The sequence below is a fragment of the Homo sapiens genome, chromosome Y (assembly GCF_000001405.40).
Source record: "Homo sapiens chromosome Y, GRCh38.p14 Primary Assembly".
Lineage (NCBI taxonomy): Eukaryota > Metazoa > Chordata > Mammalia > Primates > Hominidae > Homo > Homo sapiens.
Genome location: NC_000024.10, coordinates 2,320,565 through 2,338,980, shown reverse-complemented (window position 1 = coordinate 2,338,980; position 18,416 = coordinate 2,320,565). Strand labels below are relative to the sequence as shown.

The 18,416-nt window shown below is 46.9% G+C and overlaps 1 protein-coding gene and 1 long non-coding RNA gene across 2 annotated transcripts in view; one reads left to right on the top strand and one right to left on the bottom strand.

Annotated features, from left to right (window-relative positions):
- The window catches only part of DHRSX (dehydrogenase/reductase X-linked), a 281,471-nt gene that overhangs the window by 161,996 nt on the left and 101,059 nt on the right, over positions 1-18,416 (top strand). The gene's annotated exons all lie outside the window — the stretch shown is intronic.
- LOC124905239 (uncharacterized) lies at positions 1,310-18,342 on the bottom strand. Its single transcript, XR_007068482.1, has 3 exons — positions 17,065-18,342; positions 9,456-9,582; positions 1,310-1,476 (listed from the first exon to the last, which is right to left on the bottom strand). It is a non-coding gene; the product is annotated as an uncharacterized LOC124905239 (long non-coding RNA).

Here is an 18,416-nt window from a genome sequence, read left to right as displayed (position 1 = left end):
ACCAGCTTCCGGAAGTTTCTGAGCTCATATGGGGAGTGGGAAGTAGGTGGTCTCGTGGGAACTGCAGGGCTGGCCCCTTGTCAGGACGGTCATCACTAGTGACATAAATACCCCATGGTAGAGAGAGCTGGGGTGTCTTCGTCGGTTTTGTGTCACTAGAAAGGAACACTGGAGGCTGGATAATTTATAGAGGAAAGAGGTTTATTTGGGTTATGATTCTGCAGGCTGTACAAGAAGCACAGGGCCAGCATCTGTCTCTGCTGAGGACCTCAGGAGGCTTCCACTCATGGTGGAACGGGAAGGGGAGCTGGTATGTGTACAGAGACCACACGAAGAGACAGGAGGGAAGACAGACGGGAGACGCCAGGCTCTATTTAACAACCAGCCTGTGGAGAACTCATAGAGTAAAAACTCACTCATGCTTCAAGAAAGGACATTGATCTCTTCAGGAAGAATCCATCGTCCGTTGCTCAAACCCCTCCCATTCGACCTCCCATCCAGCACTGAGGCTTACATTTTAACCTGAGTTTGGGAGAGGAGGAATTTTAAAGCAGAGCCTGTAGATTCTAAAGCAAAATATTCTGGGTCTCCTGCTTGTAGAATGGTTGTGAGTGTGACTTCCTTTTTCTATTTTTATTTTATTTTTTTGAAACAGAGTCTCGCTCTGTTGCACAGGCTGGAGTGCAATGGCACTGTCTCGGCTCGCCGCAACCTTCATCTCCCAGGTTCAAGCGATTCTCCTGCCTCAGCCTCCCAAGTAGCTGGGATTACAGGCGCGCACCACCATGCCTGGCTAATTTTTGCATTTTTAGTAGAGACGGGGTTTCACCATGTTGACCAGGCTGGTCTTGAACTCCTGACCTCGGGTGATCTGCTGGCCTCGGCCTCCCAAAATGTTGGGATTACAGGCATGAGCCACCATGCCTGGCCTGGGATTGTTATTTCTAAATGATTCCAGCTTTTTTTTTTTTTTTGTCTCAGCTGAGGCACAGCGGTGGAACTTGTCGTCTTATCATTGACTTGTTATGTTCATGAAGGACTTGGAAAACCAACGCTGATCCTCAGAGTAACAGCATAGATCCTCACAAGACAGTCTATGAAGCTGGAGCCCCCTGGGTTGTAAAATGCCTCCGCACCCCGTCTCTGTTTCTGAAGAAGGAAGCTCTGCTGAGCAGCTAAACATGACGTGCTTGTTAAGTGTGCATTGGTTAAAGAACAGATGAAGGTACAGGCTCAGTCTCCAAAACTTCATTATACAATCTCACAGATGAGTAGCACCGTTCAGCATTGAGTGACACCTACTTTCCCGTCTCCAGGTGGTTAGATATCATCATCTCCAATTTAAGGCCCATCTAAGAGGTGCACCTTTTCTCGATCCTGAGGCTCAAGTGTCTAAACAGCAACTGTAAATTTTCTCCAATCAGTGTTTCTCCCCTGTGTGGAAATAAATTCGCATCCTTGAAGTTCAGCTCTCTCCTTCATTTTACAAAAAAACAAAAAACAAAAAAACTTGTTTTAAGCAAGATTAAAAGTGAATTTTCTATTAGCAGTAATTTTATATCACTCCCTGTCTTGCTTCTTTTGCACTCACTGAATTGAAGAGAACGATATGAAATTGCCTGGAAATAAAAATGAAAGTGCTTCTCAGAGCCAAACAACACTACTCGTGTGAAAGAATATAGAATGAAAGTTTGAAGTGTCCATCAGTCCTGAACCTGGGATGATCCTGTCCTGATATCCTTAACGAGAATGCATCTACCAAGACCCTATTCGCAAATCAGTTCACATTCACGGTGTTTGGGGGTTAGGACTTGGGCATGTCATTACGGGAAATAGCTTTGTTGGCTTTTCTGGTTTTACATAGAAAGAGCAATAAAGGTCAGCCGCGGTGGCTCACGCCTGTAATCCCAGCACTTTGGGAGGCCGAGGTGGGTGGATCATGATGTCAGGAGTTCAAGACCAGCCTGGCCAACATGGCGAAACCCCATTTCTAATGCAAGCAGGGCTTAAAACCTAGATGACGGGTTGATGGGTGCAGGAAACCAGCATGGCACATGTATACCTATGTAACAAACCTGCATGTTCTGCATATGTATCTTGCAACTTAAAGTAAAATAAATCTATCTATCTATATCTATCTATCTATCTTAGGGCTGCTGTAATAAACGACCACACACTTGGAAGTCTTAAAGCCACAACAAGTTTATTCTTTTCCAGTCCTGGAGACCAGAAGTCTGAAATAACGATGTGGGCAGTACTGTGCTTCCTCTGGAGGCTCACTTGAACCTGGGAGGCAGAGGTTGCAGTGAGCCAAGATCATGCCTTTGCACTCCAGCCTGGGCAACAACAGCAAAACTCCGTCTCAAAAAAAAAAAACAAAACAAAAAACAAAATACCGTGAATATGTTCTCTAAATTAATCTCACAGCATGGGAGAAGGTGAACAGGATACCCCAGTACTGATGACAAGTATTATGGGATGGAAAAGAGAACTGGCATTCTTCTTTGCTGGCAACACAACCTGTTTTTGTTGATGTGAAGGCAGTTAACCTTGTTGCTAGATAAATGTTACTGCAGATGTCTGACGTAATGAGAATGCGTTATCCACAGCAAAATGCTTTTGAAAAAGAAACTGCAGGGAACTTCACAGTGAGTGACTAAGACTCACTACTGCAGTCTGGCGTGGTGGCTCACGCCTGTAATCCCAGCATTCTGGGAGGGTGAGGCAGGCGGATCATGAGGTCAGTAGATCGAGACCATCCTGGGCAACAGGGTGAAACCCCGTCTCTACTAAAAGTACAAAAAAACTAGCTGGGCATGGTGGCGGGCGCCTGTAGTCCCAGCTACTTGGGAGGCTGAGGCAGGAGAATGGCTTGAAATTGAGAGGCGGAGGTTGCAGTGAGCCGAGATCACGCCACTGCACTCCCTGGTACCAGAGCAAGACTCTGTCTCAACGACAACAAAAAAACAAAAACAAAAACAAAAGCATGATATTAAAGACACTGTGCTCCATGACTCAGAAGTTGAAAGAGCTACTTTGAATCTGCAAATGATACCTCCATGGATGTCGCCTAAGTTCATGAAAGATGGAAGCATAGTGACAGTAACAATAATTTAAGAAGGTTTGAAAGGAAAATCTTGGGGTCCCCAAATCACTAAGCTCAAGGGAAAAGTCAAGCTGGGAACTTCTCAGAGCAAACTTGCCTCCCGTTTTATTCAAAGTTACTCCTGGCCAGGTGCGGTGGCTCACGCCTGTAATCCCAGCACTTTGGGAGGCCAGGGCAGGCAGAACACGAGGTAAAGAGATCAAGACCATCCTGGCCTATATGATGAAGCCCCATCTCTACTAAAAATATTTTAAAAACTAGCTGGGCATGGTGGCGGGCACCTGTAGTCCCGGCTACTCGGGAGGCTGAGGCAGGAGAATGGCTTGAACCTGGGAGGCTGAGGTTGCAGTGAGCCGAGGTCGCGCCACTGCACTCCAGCCTGGTGCCAGAGCAATACTCTGTCTAAACACACACACACACACACCCCAAAAAAATAATGAATGCAACCATTTGTCTCTTATCCACCTATGACCTGGAAGCCCCCTCCCCACTTCGAGTCGTCCCCGTGTTTCTGGATGGAACCAGTGTACCTCTCAACATATATTGATTGATGTCTCATGTCTGCCTAAAATGTATAAAACCAGCGTGTGCCCTGACCACCTTGGGAACATGTCGTCAGGACCACCTGAGGCTGTGTCATGGGTGCGTCCTCAACTGTGGCAAAATAAATTTTTCTTTTTTTTTTTTTTTGAGATGGAGTCCTACTCTGTTGTCCAGGCTGGAGTGCAGTGGTACGATCTCGGCTCACTGCAACCTCCACCTCCCTGGTTCCAGCGATTCCCCTGCCTCAGCCTCCTCAATAGCTGGGATTACAGGTGCCCGCCACCATGTCCAGCTAAAGTTTTTTTTGCATTTTTAGTAGAGACGGAGTTTCACCATGTTGGCCAGACTTGTCTTGAGCTCCTGACCTCAGACAATCCGCCCGCCTCGACCTCCCAAAGTGCTGGGATTACAGGCGTGAGCCACCACGCCCGGACTTAACTTTCTAAATTAACTGACACCATCTCAGATATTCAGGGTTCACAAAGGCTTGGAGGGGCCTGCAAATATATACAATTATAGAATTAAATAGTGATGGATAGAGTCCCTTATTCAAAAATACTGTTATAAATTAAGTTAAAATATTAAAGTCAAAGAAACTTCACACCCATAATCGCAATGCTTTCAGAAGATGGAGGATTATTTTGAGCTCAGGACTTTGAGAGCAGCTTGGGCAACACAGCAAGATGCCATTTCTACAAAAATTTTTCAAAAATAGCTGGGCATGGTGGTGTGTACATGTGGTCCCAGCTACTGGGGAGGTTGAGGCGGGAGGATCACTTGAGCCCAGGAGTTTGAGGCTGCAGTGAGATGTGCTCAAATCACTGCACTCCAGCCTGGCTGAGAGACCAAGACCTTATCTCTTAAAGAAAGAAAATAGGCGGCTGGGTCCGGTGACTCACGCCTGTAATCCCAGCCAGGGCACGCGAATCACCTGAGGTCAGGAGTTCGAGACCAGTCTAGCGAACATGGTGAAACTCCGTCTCTACTAAAAATACCAATATTAGCCAGGCATGGTGGCAGGTGCCTAGAATTCCAGCTACTTGGGAGGCTAAGGCAGGGAGAATCACTTGAACCTAGGAGGTGGAGGTTGCAGTGAGCCAAGATCATGCCATTGCACTCCAGCCTGGGTGACAGAGTAAGACTGTGTCTCAAAAAAAAAAAGCATACTTTTGAGTTAAAACAACAGAATTACCATTCAACCCAGCAACCATTCCTGGGTACATACCTAAAGAAATACCAATTATTCTACCGTAAAGACACTTTTGCACATGAATGTTCATTGCAGCATTATTTGCAATAGCAAAGACATGGGAATTAAGCTAGATACCCATCAGTGGTAGACTGGGTAAAGAAAATGTGGTACATGTACGTCGTGGAATACTGTGCAGCTGTAAAAAAGAACAAGATCTTATTATTTTTTGCAGGAACATGGATGGAGCTGGAGATCATTGTCCTTAGCAAACTAATACAAGAACATAAAAGCAAATATCGCATGTTCTCACTTATAATTGGAAGTTCAACATTGAGTAAAGGTGGCCTCAAAGAAAGGAACAACAGACATTGGGGTCTGCTTGAGGGTGAAGGGTGGGAGGAGAGGGAGGATTAAAAAGCTGCCTATTGGCCGGGCGCAGTGGCTCACACCTGTAATCCCAGCACTTTGGGAGGCCGAGGTGGGCAGATCACGAGGTCAGGAGTTCGAGACCAGCCTGGCCAAGATGGTGAAACCCTGTCTCTACTAAAAATACAAAAATTAGCCAGGCAGAGTAGCAGGCATCTGTAATCCCAGCTACTCGGGAGGCTGAGGCACAAGAATCACTTGAACCCATGAGGCGGAGGTTGCAGTGAGCCGGGATCGCACCATTGCACTCAAGCCTGGGCGGCAGAGTGGCACTCTGTCTCTACTGCATATCAGATATTGTGCTGATTATGTGGGTGACAAAATAATCTGTACACCAAACTCCCATGTCACGTAATTTGCCTGTGCAACAAACCTGCACATGGACTCCTCCCGAATCTAACATACAAGTTTAAAAAAATACATGTTTGTACAGCTGCACCACGTGTGTATGTGTTTTAAGCTATGTGTTATGATGACTCAAAAACGTTCAAAAAATTAAAAGGTGTTAAAGTTATAAAAAAGAATAAAATGCATCACACTTTTCAAATCATGAAATACCTTTTTTTACCCATCGTGAATGTAAACATTGACACCAATGGGAAGCTTGAGTATTGTGTCCATTTTACAGGGCAAGAAAACAGGGGAATGGGTAAATAGCAAAACGAGCAAAGAAATGAGTAGGCAAAGGCCCATCACCTATTTCTTTGTGGATGTCTTTGTTGAACTTTTTTTCAACAAAATGAAACCAAGCCCCCTGATTGTTAGTTACCTCACGCCCATAGTCTTGGCCAGTGAGTCTTTTCGTAAAATGGTACTCACCGCAGAGTACATTCTGAATACACGTTAGACAACGATGACCAGGAAAATTCCTGAGTTTTTGATCGATCACATTCCTGGCCAAATCAGATGGATATTTAAGACCTCAGTGTGCCCTTTGCAATCTTGCAACTCCTGCTTTGGTTCTCTGGAAGAAATCTTCTTGTCGAAGATTCTTACTAAAACTCAATGGGTTAAAATGCAAAGATCTTATTTGTTGCATAGAATCAAGACTCTGGGTCAATACCTGGCAGAGTGACTGGAGGCTGCATTGGGGTGGACTGTTTTTAGACGGCAGGTCAGGCCCCAGAGAGAGGTAGTTGGGTGGGAAACATAAGTCCTATTTCTAATGCACAGTTGTTGTGCCTCCTCTGGATATCCAAATGTTTGGCACAATCTGTTTTCCTAGAATCCCAGCTGACATAGAGCAGCTAATGCTCACATACTGTCATCCAGCCAGTGGCTCATTTAGCCAATTAACACGCTGATTTCAAAAGCATTGTGAAAATATCACTGCACACACTAACTAGCTTCTGACCATCCCTTCCCTTCCCTTCCTGGCATATTTCTCCAGCGTAATCTCTGCTCATAGCCTTTCTTACGAGCTACCCACACCCTTGAGCTTCACAGGACCCATTCAGTCTGTTTGTGTTTTCTCCCCGACCTTTCAGCAATGTCACCATGATCTTTTCAAGAATCTTTTTCTTTGCTTCTCCTGACAAATGCATCATCCTTCTGAGCAATAAACAGAGGAATTGGCAAAGTTAATAATGTCGTTATTGAGCACTTAGTGAATGGTGAGCATTATGCTAAGACTGTTTTGTGGTGTATCCATACACCATTCCAACGATATATATTTTTTAATTTAAGCATACTTTATTGGTAAACAATACTAACAATTATCTGAACATTTCGCGAGTCAAAACCTTATTGCTGGTGGAGAGTCTTGCCTCAATGTTGCTGGCTGTGGACTGATCAGGGTGGTGGTTGCTGAGGGTAGAGGGTGCTTTGGCAATTTCTTAAAATAGACAACAGTGATGTTTGTCACATCAGTTGACCCTTTCTGTCATGAAAGATTTTTCTGTATCAAGCGATGCTGTTTGATAGGGTTTTACCCAGAGTAGAACTTTTTTCAAAATTCGAGTCAGGGCCGGGCGTGGTGGCTCACGCCTGTAATCCCAGCACTTTGAGAGGCCAAGGCAGGTGGATCACCTGAGGTCAGGAGTTTGAGACCAGTCTGACCAACATGGTGAAACCCCATCTCTACTAAAACTACAAAAAAATTAGCTGGGCATGGTGGCGGGCACCTGTAATCCCAGCTACTCGGCAGGCTGAGGCAGGAGAATCGCTTGAACCTGGGAGGTGGAGGTTGCAGTGAGCCAAGATCGCGCTATGGCACTCCAGCCTGGGCAACAAGAGCAAAACTCCGTCTCAAAAAAAAAAAAAAAAAAAAAAAAAAAACCAAAAAACCTTCCTGAAAGGATTCCTCATTCTGAATGCCATTTAGAACCTTGGTGATTCATGGCAGGAAGTTAAGATATCCACATTAACAGAAATCGGGAAAAAGTGAATTCCAATATTCATGAATGACATTGAGGGGGTTCAAGACTTCAGTGGAGGAAGTCACTTCTGCTATGGTGAAAATAGCAGAAGTAAAGGTGCAGGTTGAAGATGGGGCTGAACTCCTGTAATCTCATGATAAAACTGGAATGGAAGAGGAGTTTCTTCTCATGAAGGAGCAGAGAAAATGGTTTCTTGAGATAGATACTATTCTTGGGCCCATTTCACTGATGAGAAAACTGAGGCCTCTCCAGGTTGAAGGGTACAACTACCAAGTGTGGGAGTCTGGGCTCTACCCCATTACTGGACATCTCCAGAGCCTGTTCTCCCTTCTGCTAAGTTTGCGGGTCGCTCAACATTGTCTCCTTGGACGTGTGATAAGTCTTCCTGCTCCTCCTTCATCAGTCTTTAACATTTGAGAGACATTTAGAGTGGCCTGGACCAGGCTCTTTGCTCATTCTCTTTTCTTCTACTGAGGCCTCTTTCACAAGTAGGTTTTCTCATCTCTCTCTTCTTTCATTTATTCTCTCCTTCATTCTCTCTTTCTCATTCTCTTATTCTCTCTCCCTGTCTTCTTTCCTCTTCTCTTCCCTCCTCTTCCCCTCCTACTTCTTCCTTCCCCTCCTTCTCCTGCCCCTCATCTCCTCCTACTTCTCCTCCTCCTTCTCCTTCTTCTCCTTCATCTTCTTTCGTTTCTTCTCCTTCCCTTTCTCTCCTCCTCCTTCTCCTTCTCCCTTTCCTTCCCTTCCCCTCTCTTCCCCTCCCCTTCCCTCCCCTCCCCTCCCTTCCCTTCCCTTTTCTTTTCTTTTTTTTTTTCTTTCACGGAGTCTCACTCTGTTGCCAGGCTGGAGTGCCGTGGCGCGATCTCAGCTCACTGCAACCTCTGCCTCCCCGGTTCAAGCGATTCTTCTGCCTCAGCCTCCTGAGTAGCTGGGATTACAGGCATGCACCACCCTGCCCAGCTAATTTTTGTATTTTTAGTAGAGATGGGGTTTCACCATGTTGGCCAGGATGATCTCAGTCTCCTGACCTCGTGATCCACCTGCCTCAGCCTCCCAAAGTGCTAGGATTACAGGCATGAGACACCGCACCTGGCCCCTTCTACTTTTTTTTTCCCTTCTCCTTCACCTCCTCTTCCCCCTCCTCCTGCTTCTCCTCCTCCTCTTTCACCTCCTCCTCCTTCCTTTCTCCTCCTCCTCCTTCCTTTCTCTCTGTCTCTCTCTCTCTCTCTCTCTCCCTCCCTCCCCCCCCCCCCCCCCCCCCCGCCGTCTCTCTGCTTCTCTCTCATTCACTCTCATTGACGTCCATATCCAAATTTTTGGAATCGCAGTGCTGCCCTCTTAGTTCTTTGTCATGAACCATCTGTTGCCCTTGGATTGTTTTACCTTTTGTATCCTTGGCAGCTTGACATACCCATGGTCTAAGCAAGAGTGTTTTCTCTGAAAGTGCAGGCATGAGCTGATACTTGTGTGTTTCATCCATTATCAGCACTGTTTTATGCATGTAAGGAGGGTGTGTGGCATTTGCTTCGTGGGTTGTAGGAAGGGACACCCAGGAAACAAACAACTAAAGTGAAGCTTTCCTGCGGGCTAGGATTTGAAGGTCATACTAATGTCCTTCGAGAGAGTTAATGTCAAGAATTGGTGTGACCAAACAGTGGTGGATGTCATAGTGTTTTCCTCTTTTCATAGGTTCACTTTTCAAATGAGACAGTAGCCATGAGGGACCATCCATGCAGGCTGAGACTAGTCTTCAGGAAAATATCTATGCCTAGTAGTTTCAGAAAGGTTAGGGTTGCATAGATGTACCCACCTGTCCATCCTGATCCTTACTCTAAATTCGACCTCTTCTATCATTGCTTTCACCATCACTGTCTTGTTGGTGATGGGCCCAGCTTCGAGAAACTCAGATCTGCCTCAGTGCTGCTGGAGCTGGAGAGCTGGAAGAAAACCAATATGGCGTTTGAACCGCACAATCCAAAAGTATTGTAGCAGCACTGATTCATAGGTTCCTTCTCAGTAGAACCTCTTTTGAATTCCTCCAAACAAAGCCTTCTATTTGAGCCATGGCCCTTGAGTAGACCGATGTCATGGACTATTAGAGTATGCTATTGGTGCTCCAGCTACCCATGGCCAACCACCAGGCATTACTTAGGTAGAGCCCCACTGCCTGGCCTATGCACCAGGCATCAACATGAGGTTTCATAAATACCTGGGAGTACAAGTGCAGAATCTCTGTTGAAAGAATGCAATACTCTTTTTATTTCTTCACCGAATAATTAAATAATTTTTATTTCTTCATTAAAGGGCAATTGAAGAGAAGACAACATGTCTCTCTTAGTAGGTACCATCCCCGAGTAGAACTCATCCTCCTCTGTGCAAAGATTCCCATTGTTCAGATCACTCTAATGCTTTGAGGAAAACCTCCCCACAGTGTAACATACAGAACACTCTTCCGGGGGTTATGGCAGATGCTGGAGTCTCTTCTACCACCACCTAAAGATGCTGGGGTACTCTGCAACACCACCTGAGGAAAGGAACAGGATGAAACACCTGTTGTATTAGTCACCTAGGGCTGCCATGACAAAATACTACAGGCTGGGCCGCTTAAACAGCAGACTTTTATTTTCCCACAGTTCTGAAGGCTGGAAGTCTGTGAGATCAAAGTGTGGGCAGGGCTGGTTCTTCCTGAGGCCTCTCTGCTGGGCTTGTAGACACCGTCTTCTCCCTGTGTCCTCATAGGGTCGCCCCTCTGTGTGTGTCTGTGTCCTCATCTCCTCTTATGAGGTGTCTTAGTCCATCTCAGGCTGCTATCACAGAATACCATAGACTGGGTGACTTATAAACAACAGACATTGATTCTCTCACAGTCCTGGAGGCTGGAAGTCTGAGATCCAGGTATGGGCAGGGCTGGTTCCTCCTGAGGCCTCTCTCCTGGGCTTGGAGACGCCATCTTCTCCCTGTGTCCTCACAGGGTTGTCCCAATGTGTGTGTCTGTGTCCTCATCTCCTTTTCTTATGAGGTGTCTTAGTCCATTTCAGGCTGCTATCACAGAATACCATAGACTGGGTGGCTTGTAAACAACAGACGTTTATTCTCCCACAATCCTGGAGGCTGTAAGTCCAAGATCAAGGTGTAGGCAGGGCTGGTTCCTCCTGAGGCCTCTCTTGTAGGCTTGTAGATGCCATCTTCTCACTGTGTCCTCGCAGGGTCGTCACTCTGTGTGTCTGTGTCCTCATCTCCTCCTCTTTTTTTTTTTGAGACGGAGTCTCGCTCTGTCGCCCAGGCTGGAGTGCAGTGGCGGGATCTCGGCTCACTGCAAGCTCCACCTCCCAGGTTCAAGCGATTTTCCTGCCTCAGCCTCCCAAGTAGCTGGAACTACAGGTGCGTGCCACCATGCCTAGCTAATTTTTTCTATTTTTAGTAGAGATGGAGTTTCACCGTGTTAGCCAGGATGGTCTCGATCACCTGACCTCGTGATCCACCCACCTCAGCCTCCCAAAGTACTGGGATTACAGGCGTGAGCCACCACACCCGGCCTCATCTCCTCTTCTTATAAGCATCCCAGTCTTCTCGGATTAGGGGCCTCCCTGGTGACTTTGTTTTACCTTAATCACCTCTTTAAAGACTATCTCCAAATATGGTGACATTCTGAGGTCCTGGGCGTTAGGGCTTTAACATAGGGATTTGGGAGAAGGAATCAGCCCATCACAGCTGTGCATTCTAAGACTCCAGTGACTTTGTGCTGACAATGGCTTTTCCTTGGGTAGCTCTAACCAGATGGTCTGGCTGGGTCTATCTTGAGTCTAGTGACTCCCACCACGAGGCCAACTGAGCAGGGTGGCCAGGAAAGCCTGTGGCCTTACAACAAGGTGATGCTCACCTGCAGCACACAGGCCATCACTGTAGCTCTGCTGGCTTTATTCTTGGGTTTATAGTGATGGCTTCTTTCTGCCTCTGCCTCCCTTGAGGCATCTCGTTTCTGTGGTTGGAGTACTGTGAGCCTAAGAGACAGAGAGCATGTCCACAGTCAGGCTTCCCTTACTTGCTTCAGTAGCATCTCATGAGTGTTTCCAATGCATTCAGGGAGACTCTTCTTCACTGAAGGAGTCAGATCCATTTTGCAGCTTTGCTGCTTGGAACCTTGATGGAATGGCTGAGTACATGGCCGCCAGCGTCACTCATGCACGAAAAGTGTTGTTGAAAGCTAATAGAAACTGAAATCTGGTCGGGCACGGTGGCTCACGCCTGTAATCCCAGCACCTTGGGAGGCTGAGGCGGGTGGATCACCTGAGGTCAGGAGTGCGAGACCAGCCTGGCCAACATGGCGAAACCCCATCTCTACTAAAAATACGAAAAATTAGCCGGGCATGGTGGCAGGCACCTGTCATCCCAGCTACTCAGGAGGCTGAGGCAGGAGAATCGCTTGAACCCTGGAGGTGGAGGTTTCAGTGAGCCGAGATTGCGCCATTATACTCCAGCTTGGGCAACAAGAGTGAAAATCTGCCTGGAAAGAAAAAAAAAAAAAAGAAAAACTGAAATAGAAGATTTCCCTTCCCCCAGTTCACTTTGACTGCGCTAAAGTAATTTCCTTTGAGGGCAGAGAGGACACGGATTGCTTTGGGCATACTTCAAAATGCTACTGTCTCCCTAGGAATATTGCAAAGTGGTTACTTTCCCCCAATAACACACAACTGGATATTTCTTTGATCTTCACCCTGGGAACCTGGTGGAGCTCCCGGAGGTAAAATTTGTGAAAGTACAAGGTCCCCTCTAAGATGGGCCCCCAGAAGTTTTTCTGTTGTTGTTGTTTTTTGAGACAGAGTCTCGCTCTGTCACTCAGGCTGGAGTGCAGTGGTGCGATCTGGGCTCACTACAACCTCCACCTCCCAGGGTCAAGCAATTCTCCTGCCTCAGCCTCCCGAGTAGCTGGGATTACAGGTGCCTGCCACCACGCCCGGCTAATTTTTGTATTTTTAGTAGAGACGGGGTTTCACTATGTTGGCCAGGCTGGTCTCGAACTCCTGACCTCAGGTGATCTGCCCGCCTTGGCCTCCCAAAGTGCTGGGATTACAGGTGCGAGCCACCATGCCTGGCCAGGAGTTTTTAACTTACTTAGGCTTGTCCACTGTCAGCCTGCAGCTGTTTAATAATTACCCTGCAAATGTGTCCATCAGGTGCTGGCTCCAGCAGGAACTCCTAGACAAGCACAATTCCACTTGCCACCTGTCTGTCCAGTCTTCAGGCAGCATTTCGTCTTGTGATCTCTATTTTCTGATGGATCGCAGAGTTGCTGATTTTCAGTATGTTCTGCTCTTTGCCTATTGTGAGGATAGGAATTAAAATGCGCAAGCTCTCTACATGTTAGTGAAGTGGCTACGTTGTCTGGGGTATATACCCTGGGGTTCGTCATTGGGCATCAGGAAAATTTAGGACAAAGACACACACGAGGAGTTTAGGAGTGGAAGTTTAATCAGGAGAAGAGAAAGAGAAATGGTTTTCTCTATAGAGAAAGGGGTCTCCGAGCGGAAAGGACCAGCTGGCACCAAATGTGATGGATTTTATAGTCCAGTTTGAGGAGGCGGTGTCTCATTTACATAGAGCTCAGAGATTGGTTCCATCAAGCATGGCATTTACATAGCCCACAGGAAAGGCTGGTTGCCCACCCTAATCGTTTATGCAAATGGGCTTTGTAGTTGGTCGGGGCTCTCCGAGAGATTGGTTCCATCAAGCATGACATTTACATAGCCCACAGGAAAGGCTGGTTGCCCACCCTAATCGGTTATGCAAATGGGCTTTGTAGTTGGTCGGGGCTCTCGGTCCTGTTTTTCTTACTTTACATGTGGCTGACAAAGAGGAGGGAAGATGGAGCCACTGTCTTGAACGTGTCTAGTCTCTAGTTCCTGCTGGGAAGATGGAGCCGCCGTTTTGAATGTGTCTAGTCCCTAGTTCCTGCCGGGAAGATGGAACCGCCATCTTGAACGTGTCTAGTCCCTAGTTCCTGCCGGGAAGATGGAGCCGCCATCTTGAACGTGTCTAGTCCCTAGTTCCTGCCCGGAAGATGGAGCCGCCATCTTGAACGTGTCTAGTCGTTAGTTCCTCCCGGGAAGATGGAGCCGCCATCTTGAACGTGTCTAGTCCCTAGGTCCTCCCGACATTCACCCGTACAAGCTCCCAGCTGGCTTGTGTATGTCTGCAGCTCGACTTGACAGGCTGTTCATTGTTAGAAAATGACTTGGGGCTGCTTTTCGTTAAAGAGAAAAGCTGCCGGGCGCAGTGGCTCACACCTGTCATCCCAGCACTTTTGGAGGCTGAGGCGGGTGGATCATTAGGTCAGGGGTTCGAGACGAGCCTGACCAGTGAAACCGCGTCTCTACTAAAAAAAAAAAAAACAAAACAAAAATTAGCCGGGCTTGGTGGTGCGTACCTATAATGCCAGCTACTTAGGAGGCTGAGGCAGGCGAATTGCTTGAACCCGGGAGGCGGAGGTTGCAATGAGCGAACATCACGCCACTACACTCCAGCCTGGGCGACAGAGCGGGACTCCATCTCAAAAAAAAAAAAAAAAAGAAAAGAAAAAAGCCTTGCCGAGGACTCCCATACCCTTACTGTCTGCCTAAGTGATTTCTTCTTAACTCCTGTATCACTGGCAGACTCTGAGTTGCCTGTTGGGTGGAGTACTATATTGCCGAGTATCATGACTGTATTAGATGTGAGGGAGACAGTGTGAATAGGACATGGTCCCTGAAGAGCACAGAGCTTTCACCTGGGGCTGGGCGGAGCTTCTGTCCTATCCAGTGTTATGGAACCCTTGCAAGCACAGGTCAAGCAGCTCAAGGGCTGGAAGACGTGCACACAAAATCCAAGGGCAACGTTGGAAAGAGGTTTAGTGTTTCTTAGAAAAATGCCAGAAGGCTGAAGAAGTGGGGGCCCCGAGCAGCTCTGAAGGGTGTGTATGCAATTAAACTGAAGCCAAAGGCTGAGAGAGAGGAGTGAGAGCCGCCTACGGAGCTCTGTGCAGCTTCATCATAAACTCACAGACAGGCTTCATGCAGCGCCGTCTCAGTGCATTCAATGTTTGGATTCCACATGCATGCGTCCTCAACCCCCTTGCAATGCTGTTCTCCTTGGAGGGAAATGGGTCCTTCTTACCCTATCACATGCAGGTATCTGGTCTACCAGATAAATGTGTGAGAAATCACCAACAAAGCAGAAATTACTTTTAATTACAAAGCAGAGTCATCGTAAAACTTTGTGCAAAATCTTTTTTTTTTTTTTTTTCCAGACAGGGTCTCCATCTGTTACCCAGGCTGGAGTGCAGTGGTGTGATCATGGCTCACTGCAACTTCAACTTCCGAGGCTCAGGTGATCCTCACATCTCAGCCTCCCAAGTAGCTGGGATGACAGGTGTGCACCACCACACCCAGCTAATTTTTACTATCTGCTTAAGTCATTTCTTCTTAACCCCTGTATCATTAGAGGAGAAACCGGAAGCCCCTATTTTTGAAATTAGTAACCACCTATCACCTAAAATTCCTCTCATTACTGTGACGATAATGATGATTTTTTCGAGACCGGATCTCACTCTGTCACCCAGGCTGGAGTGCAGTGGTGTGACTGTGGCTCACGACAGCTTCAGCCTCCCGGGCTCGAGTGATCTTCCCACCACAGTGTCTAAAGTAGCTGGGGCTGTAGGTACGCATCATCATTCCCAGCTATGTATATATTTTAAATATTTTGTAGAGATGGGATCTTCCTCTGTTGCTCAGGCTGGTCTTAAACTCCTGGCCTCCAGCAGTCTTCTCACCTGGGCCTCTTAAAGTGCTGGGATTACAGGCGTGTACCACCGTGTCTGGCCAAAAAACATATCTATTCTGGGGTTCATAGTGATGCTTGTTTCTGCCTTGGCCTGTCTTGAGGCATCTCACTCCTGTAGTTGGAGTACTCTGAGTGTAACAGATGGAGAGTATGTCCACACCCACTCTTCCCTCACGTGTTTCTGTAGCATCCCGTAGGAGTTTTCAAATGCATTTGGAGATGTATTCACCCTGTGACAGATTCAATGCATCTCTACAAGGCAGAATAGCTCTACCATGGTGTGGCTATGGCGCTTGGCTACCTGAGTCTTTATTCTGCCTTCCAGGTGCTTGTTGGTTGGATAACTTTGGGTAGGTTCTTGTACCTCTTTGAGCTTCAAGACTGTCTTAGTCAGCTCTGGCTGTTGCAAGAAAATACAGTTGACCTTGATACAAAAATTAGCTGGGTGTGGCGCCTGTAATCCCAGATACTCAGGAGGCTGAGGCAGGAGAATCGCTTGAACCTGGGAGGCGGAGATTGCAGGGAGCCAAGATCACACCATTGCACTCCAGCCTGGGCGACAGAGCAAGATTCCATCTCAAAAACAACAACAACAACAACAAAAAACTAGAGTTGACCCTTGAACAATGTGGGAGTTAGGGGCGTCACACACGTCCCTGGCACAGTTGAAAATCCAAAGATAACTTTTGACTCACCCAAAACTTATGAATATCCTATTGTTGAGCAGAAGCCTTATCAATACCATAAAGTCGATTAACATATATTTTGTATGTTTTATGTATTGTATACTGTATTATTAAAGTATGCTAGAGAAAAGAAAATGCTGTTTGTTTTTTTTTAGCCGGGCGTGGTGGCGCACGCCTGTAATCCCAGCTACTCAGGAGGCTGAGGCAGGAGAATCGCCTTATAAGGAACTTTGAGAATCAAAAATCATAAGGAACTTTCATTCTTTTTTTTTTTTTTTTGAGATGGAGTTTCACTCTGTTGCCCTGGAGTCAGGCTGGAGTTCAGTGGTGTGATCTCTGCTCAGTACAGCCTACGCCTCCCACGTTCAAGTGATTCTCCTGCCTCAGCCTCCCGAGTAGCTGGCACTAAAGGTGCACGCCACCACGCCCAGCTAATTTTTGTATTTTTAGTAGAGACAGGGTTTCACCACGTTGGTCAGGCTGGTCTTGAACTCCTGACCTTAGGTGACCTACCCGCCTTGGCGTCCCAAAGTGTGGAGATTACAGGCTTGAGCCACCACGCCTGATAAGGAACTTTTATTCTAAGTGAAGTAACTCAGGGATGAAAAACCAACATCGTATGTTCTCAGTGTTACGTGGGAGCTAAGCTATGAGGACACAAAGGCATAAGAATGATAAAATGGAATTTGGGGTCTTGGGGGGGAAGAGTGGGAGGGGGGTGAGGGATAAACACTACAAATAGGGTGCAGTATATACTGTTCGGGTGATGGGTGTACCAAAATCTCACAGATCACCACTAAAGAACTTAGGTAACCAAATACCACCAGTACCCCAATCACTTATGGAAAGATAATTAAAAACAAAAAAGGACACCAAACTAAATTTTTAAAAATCATAGAGAAGAGAAAATATATTTACTATTTCTGAAGTGGGAGTGGATCGTCATGAAGGTCTTCATCCTTATCGTCTTCACCTTGAGTAGCCTAAGATGAGAGCGGACAGGAGGGATTGGTCTTGCTGGCTCCGGGGTGGCAGAGGTAGAAGAAAATGCCCGTAGAAGTGGACCCGTGCAATTCAAACCTGTGTTGTTTAAGGGTTAACTGGACCATAGATGGGGTGGCATAAATAACAGAAATTTATTTCTCTATAGTACTGGAGGCAGAAATGTTTACATCCAGGTGGCACCATGGTTGGGTACTTGAGAGGTTCCTCTTCTTGGTTTACAGATGGTCTCGCAGGGCAGAGAGAGAGGGGGGTGGAGCACGAGGGAGCATGTGTGCCCTGGTGTCTCTTCTTACAAGGGCACGAATCCCAACATAAGGATCCCACCTTCACGACCTGATGTAAACATCATCATCTCCCAAAGGCTCCGTCTCCAAATACCATCCCCTTTGGCATTAGGGTTTCCACACATGAGATTCGGGGTGACACCATTCATTCCATAGCAGGAGCCCTCCTTGGCAGACTGGGACACCAACGCCTCTTCCCTCTTGGGCTGACACGAGCTGTAAATGTCAGTGGACATTTAAATACTGCGTTACACATTCGATGTCCTGTCTGCAATGGAGCCGGGTTCTGTAAACATAAGCTGCCATGGCGAAATCGGATCATCATCGCCCATCAAGCTCTTTGGCAGCAGTGCTGTAATCAGTGCAAACATTTATTTATATAAATGCTCCCATCCCCTCGGCATGAAGATATACTTAGGCTCTCTCAATGGACAGCCACGCCACAAGCCCAGGAATGAGAGCTTGTCAGATACTGAGGCTGTTTTCAGAGCCAGTGTTCGGCTGAAGTGGCACAGAAGCTATCATTGTTTGCAAATCTCTGCTGCTTGTCAAGCCACAGGGTTAAGTAACCCCGGATGTTGCGAACACTCTGAAGTGCTGACCTGCAGTGTCTTTTTGGATCACTGAGCCCTCAGGCAGACAGGCTGTACGTGGACCGACACGTCATGGCTGCTGTCTTGCACTTAACCCTCTTTATCTTTAGACCTTGATTGTGCACCTGTTTCTCATTGGAAGCTAATGACAATCCACGAAGCGGCTTGGCAGTGACTGTCTCTGATTGTGTAAGGAGGGGTTGCCACATTCACCCATGTTGTTGACTTTCAACTGTACACTTGAAAACGTCAAAAGTCAGAGTAAGCATTGCCTCATGTCTCCGAGTGTAGCAATTCTAGGAAAACTCTTCCGAATGGGTTTAAAGTCAAACAAATCCAATCAAAACAGACTTGCAGGGCCAGGCACGGTGGCTCATGCCTGCAATCC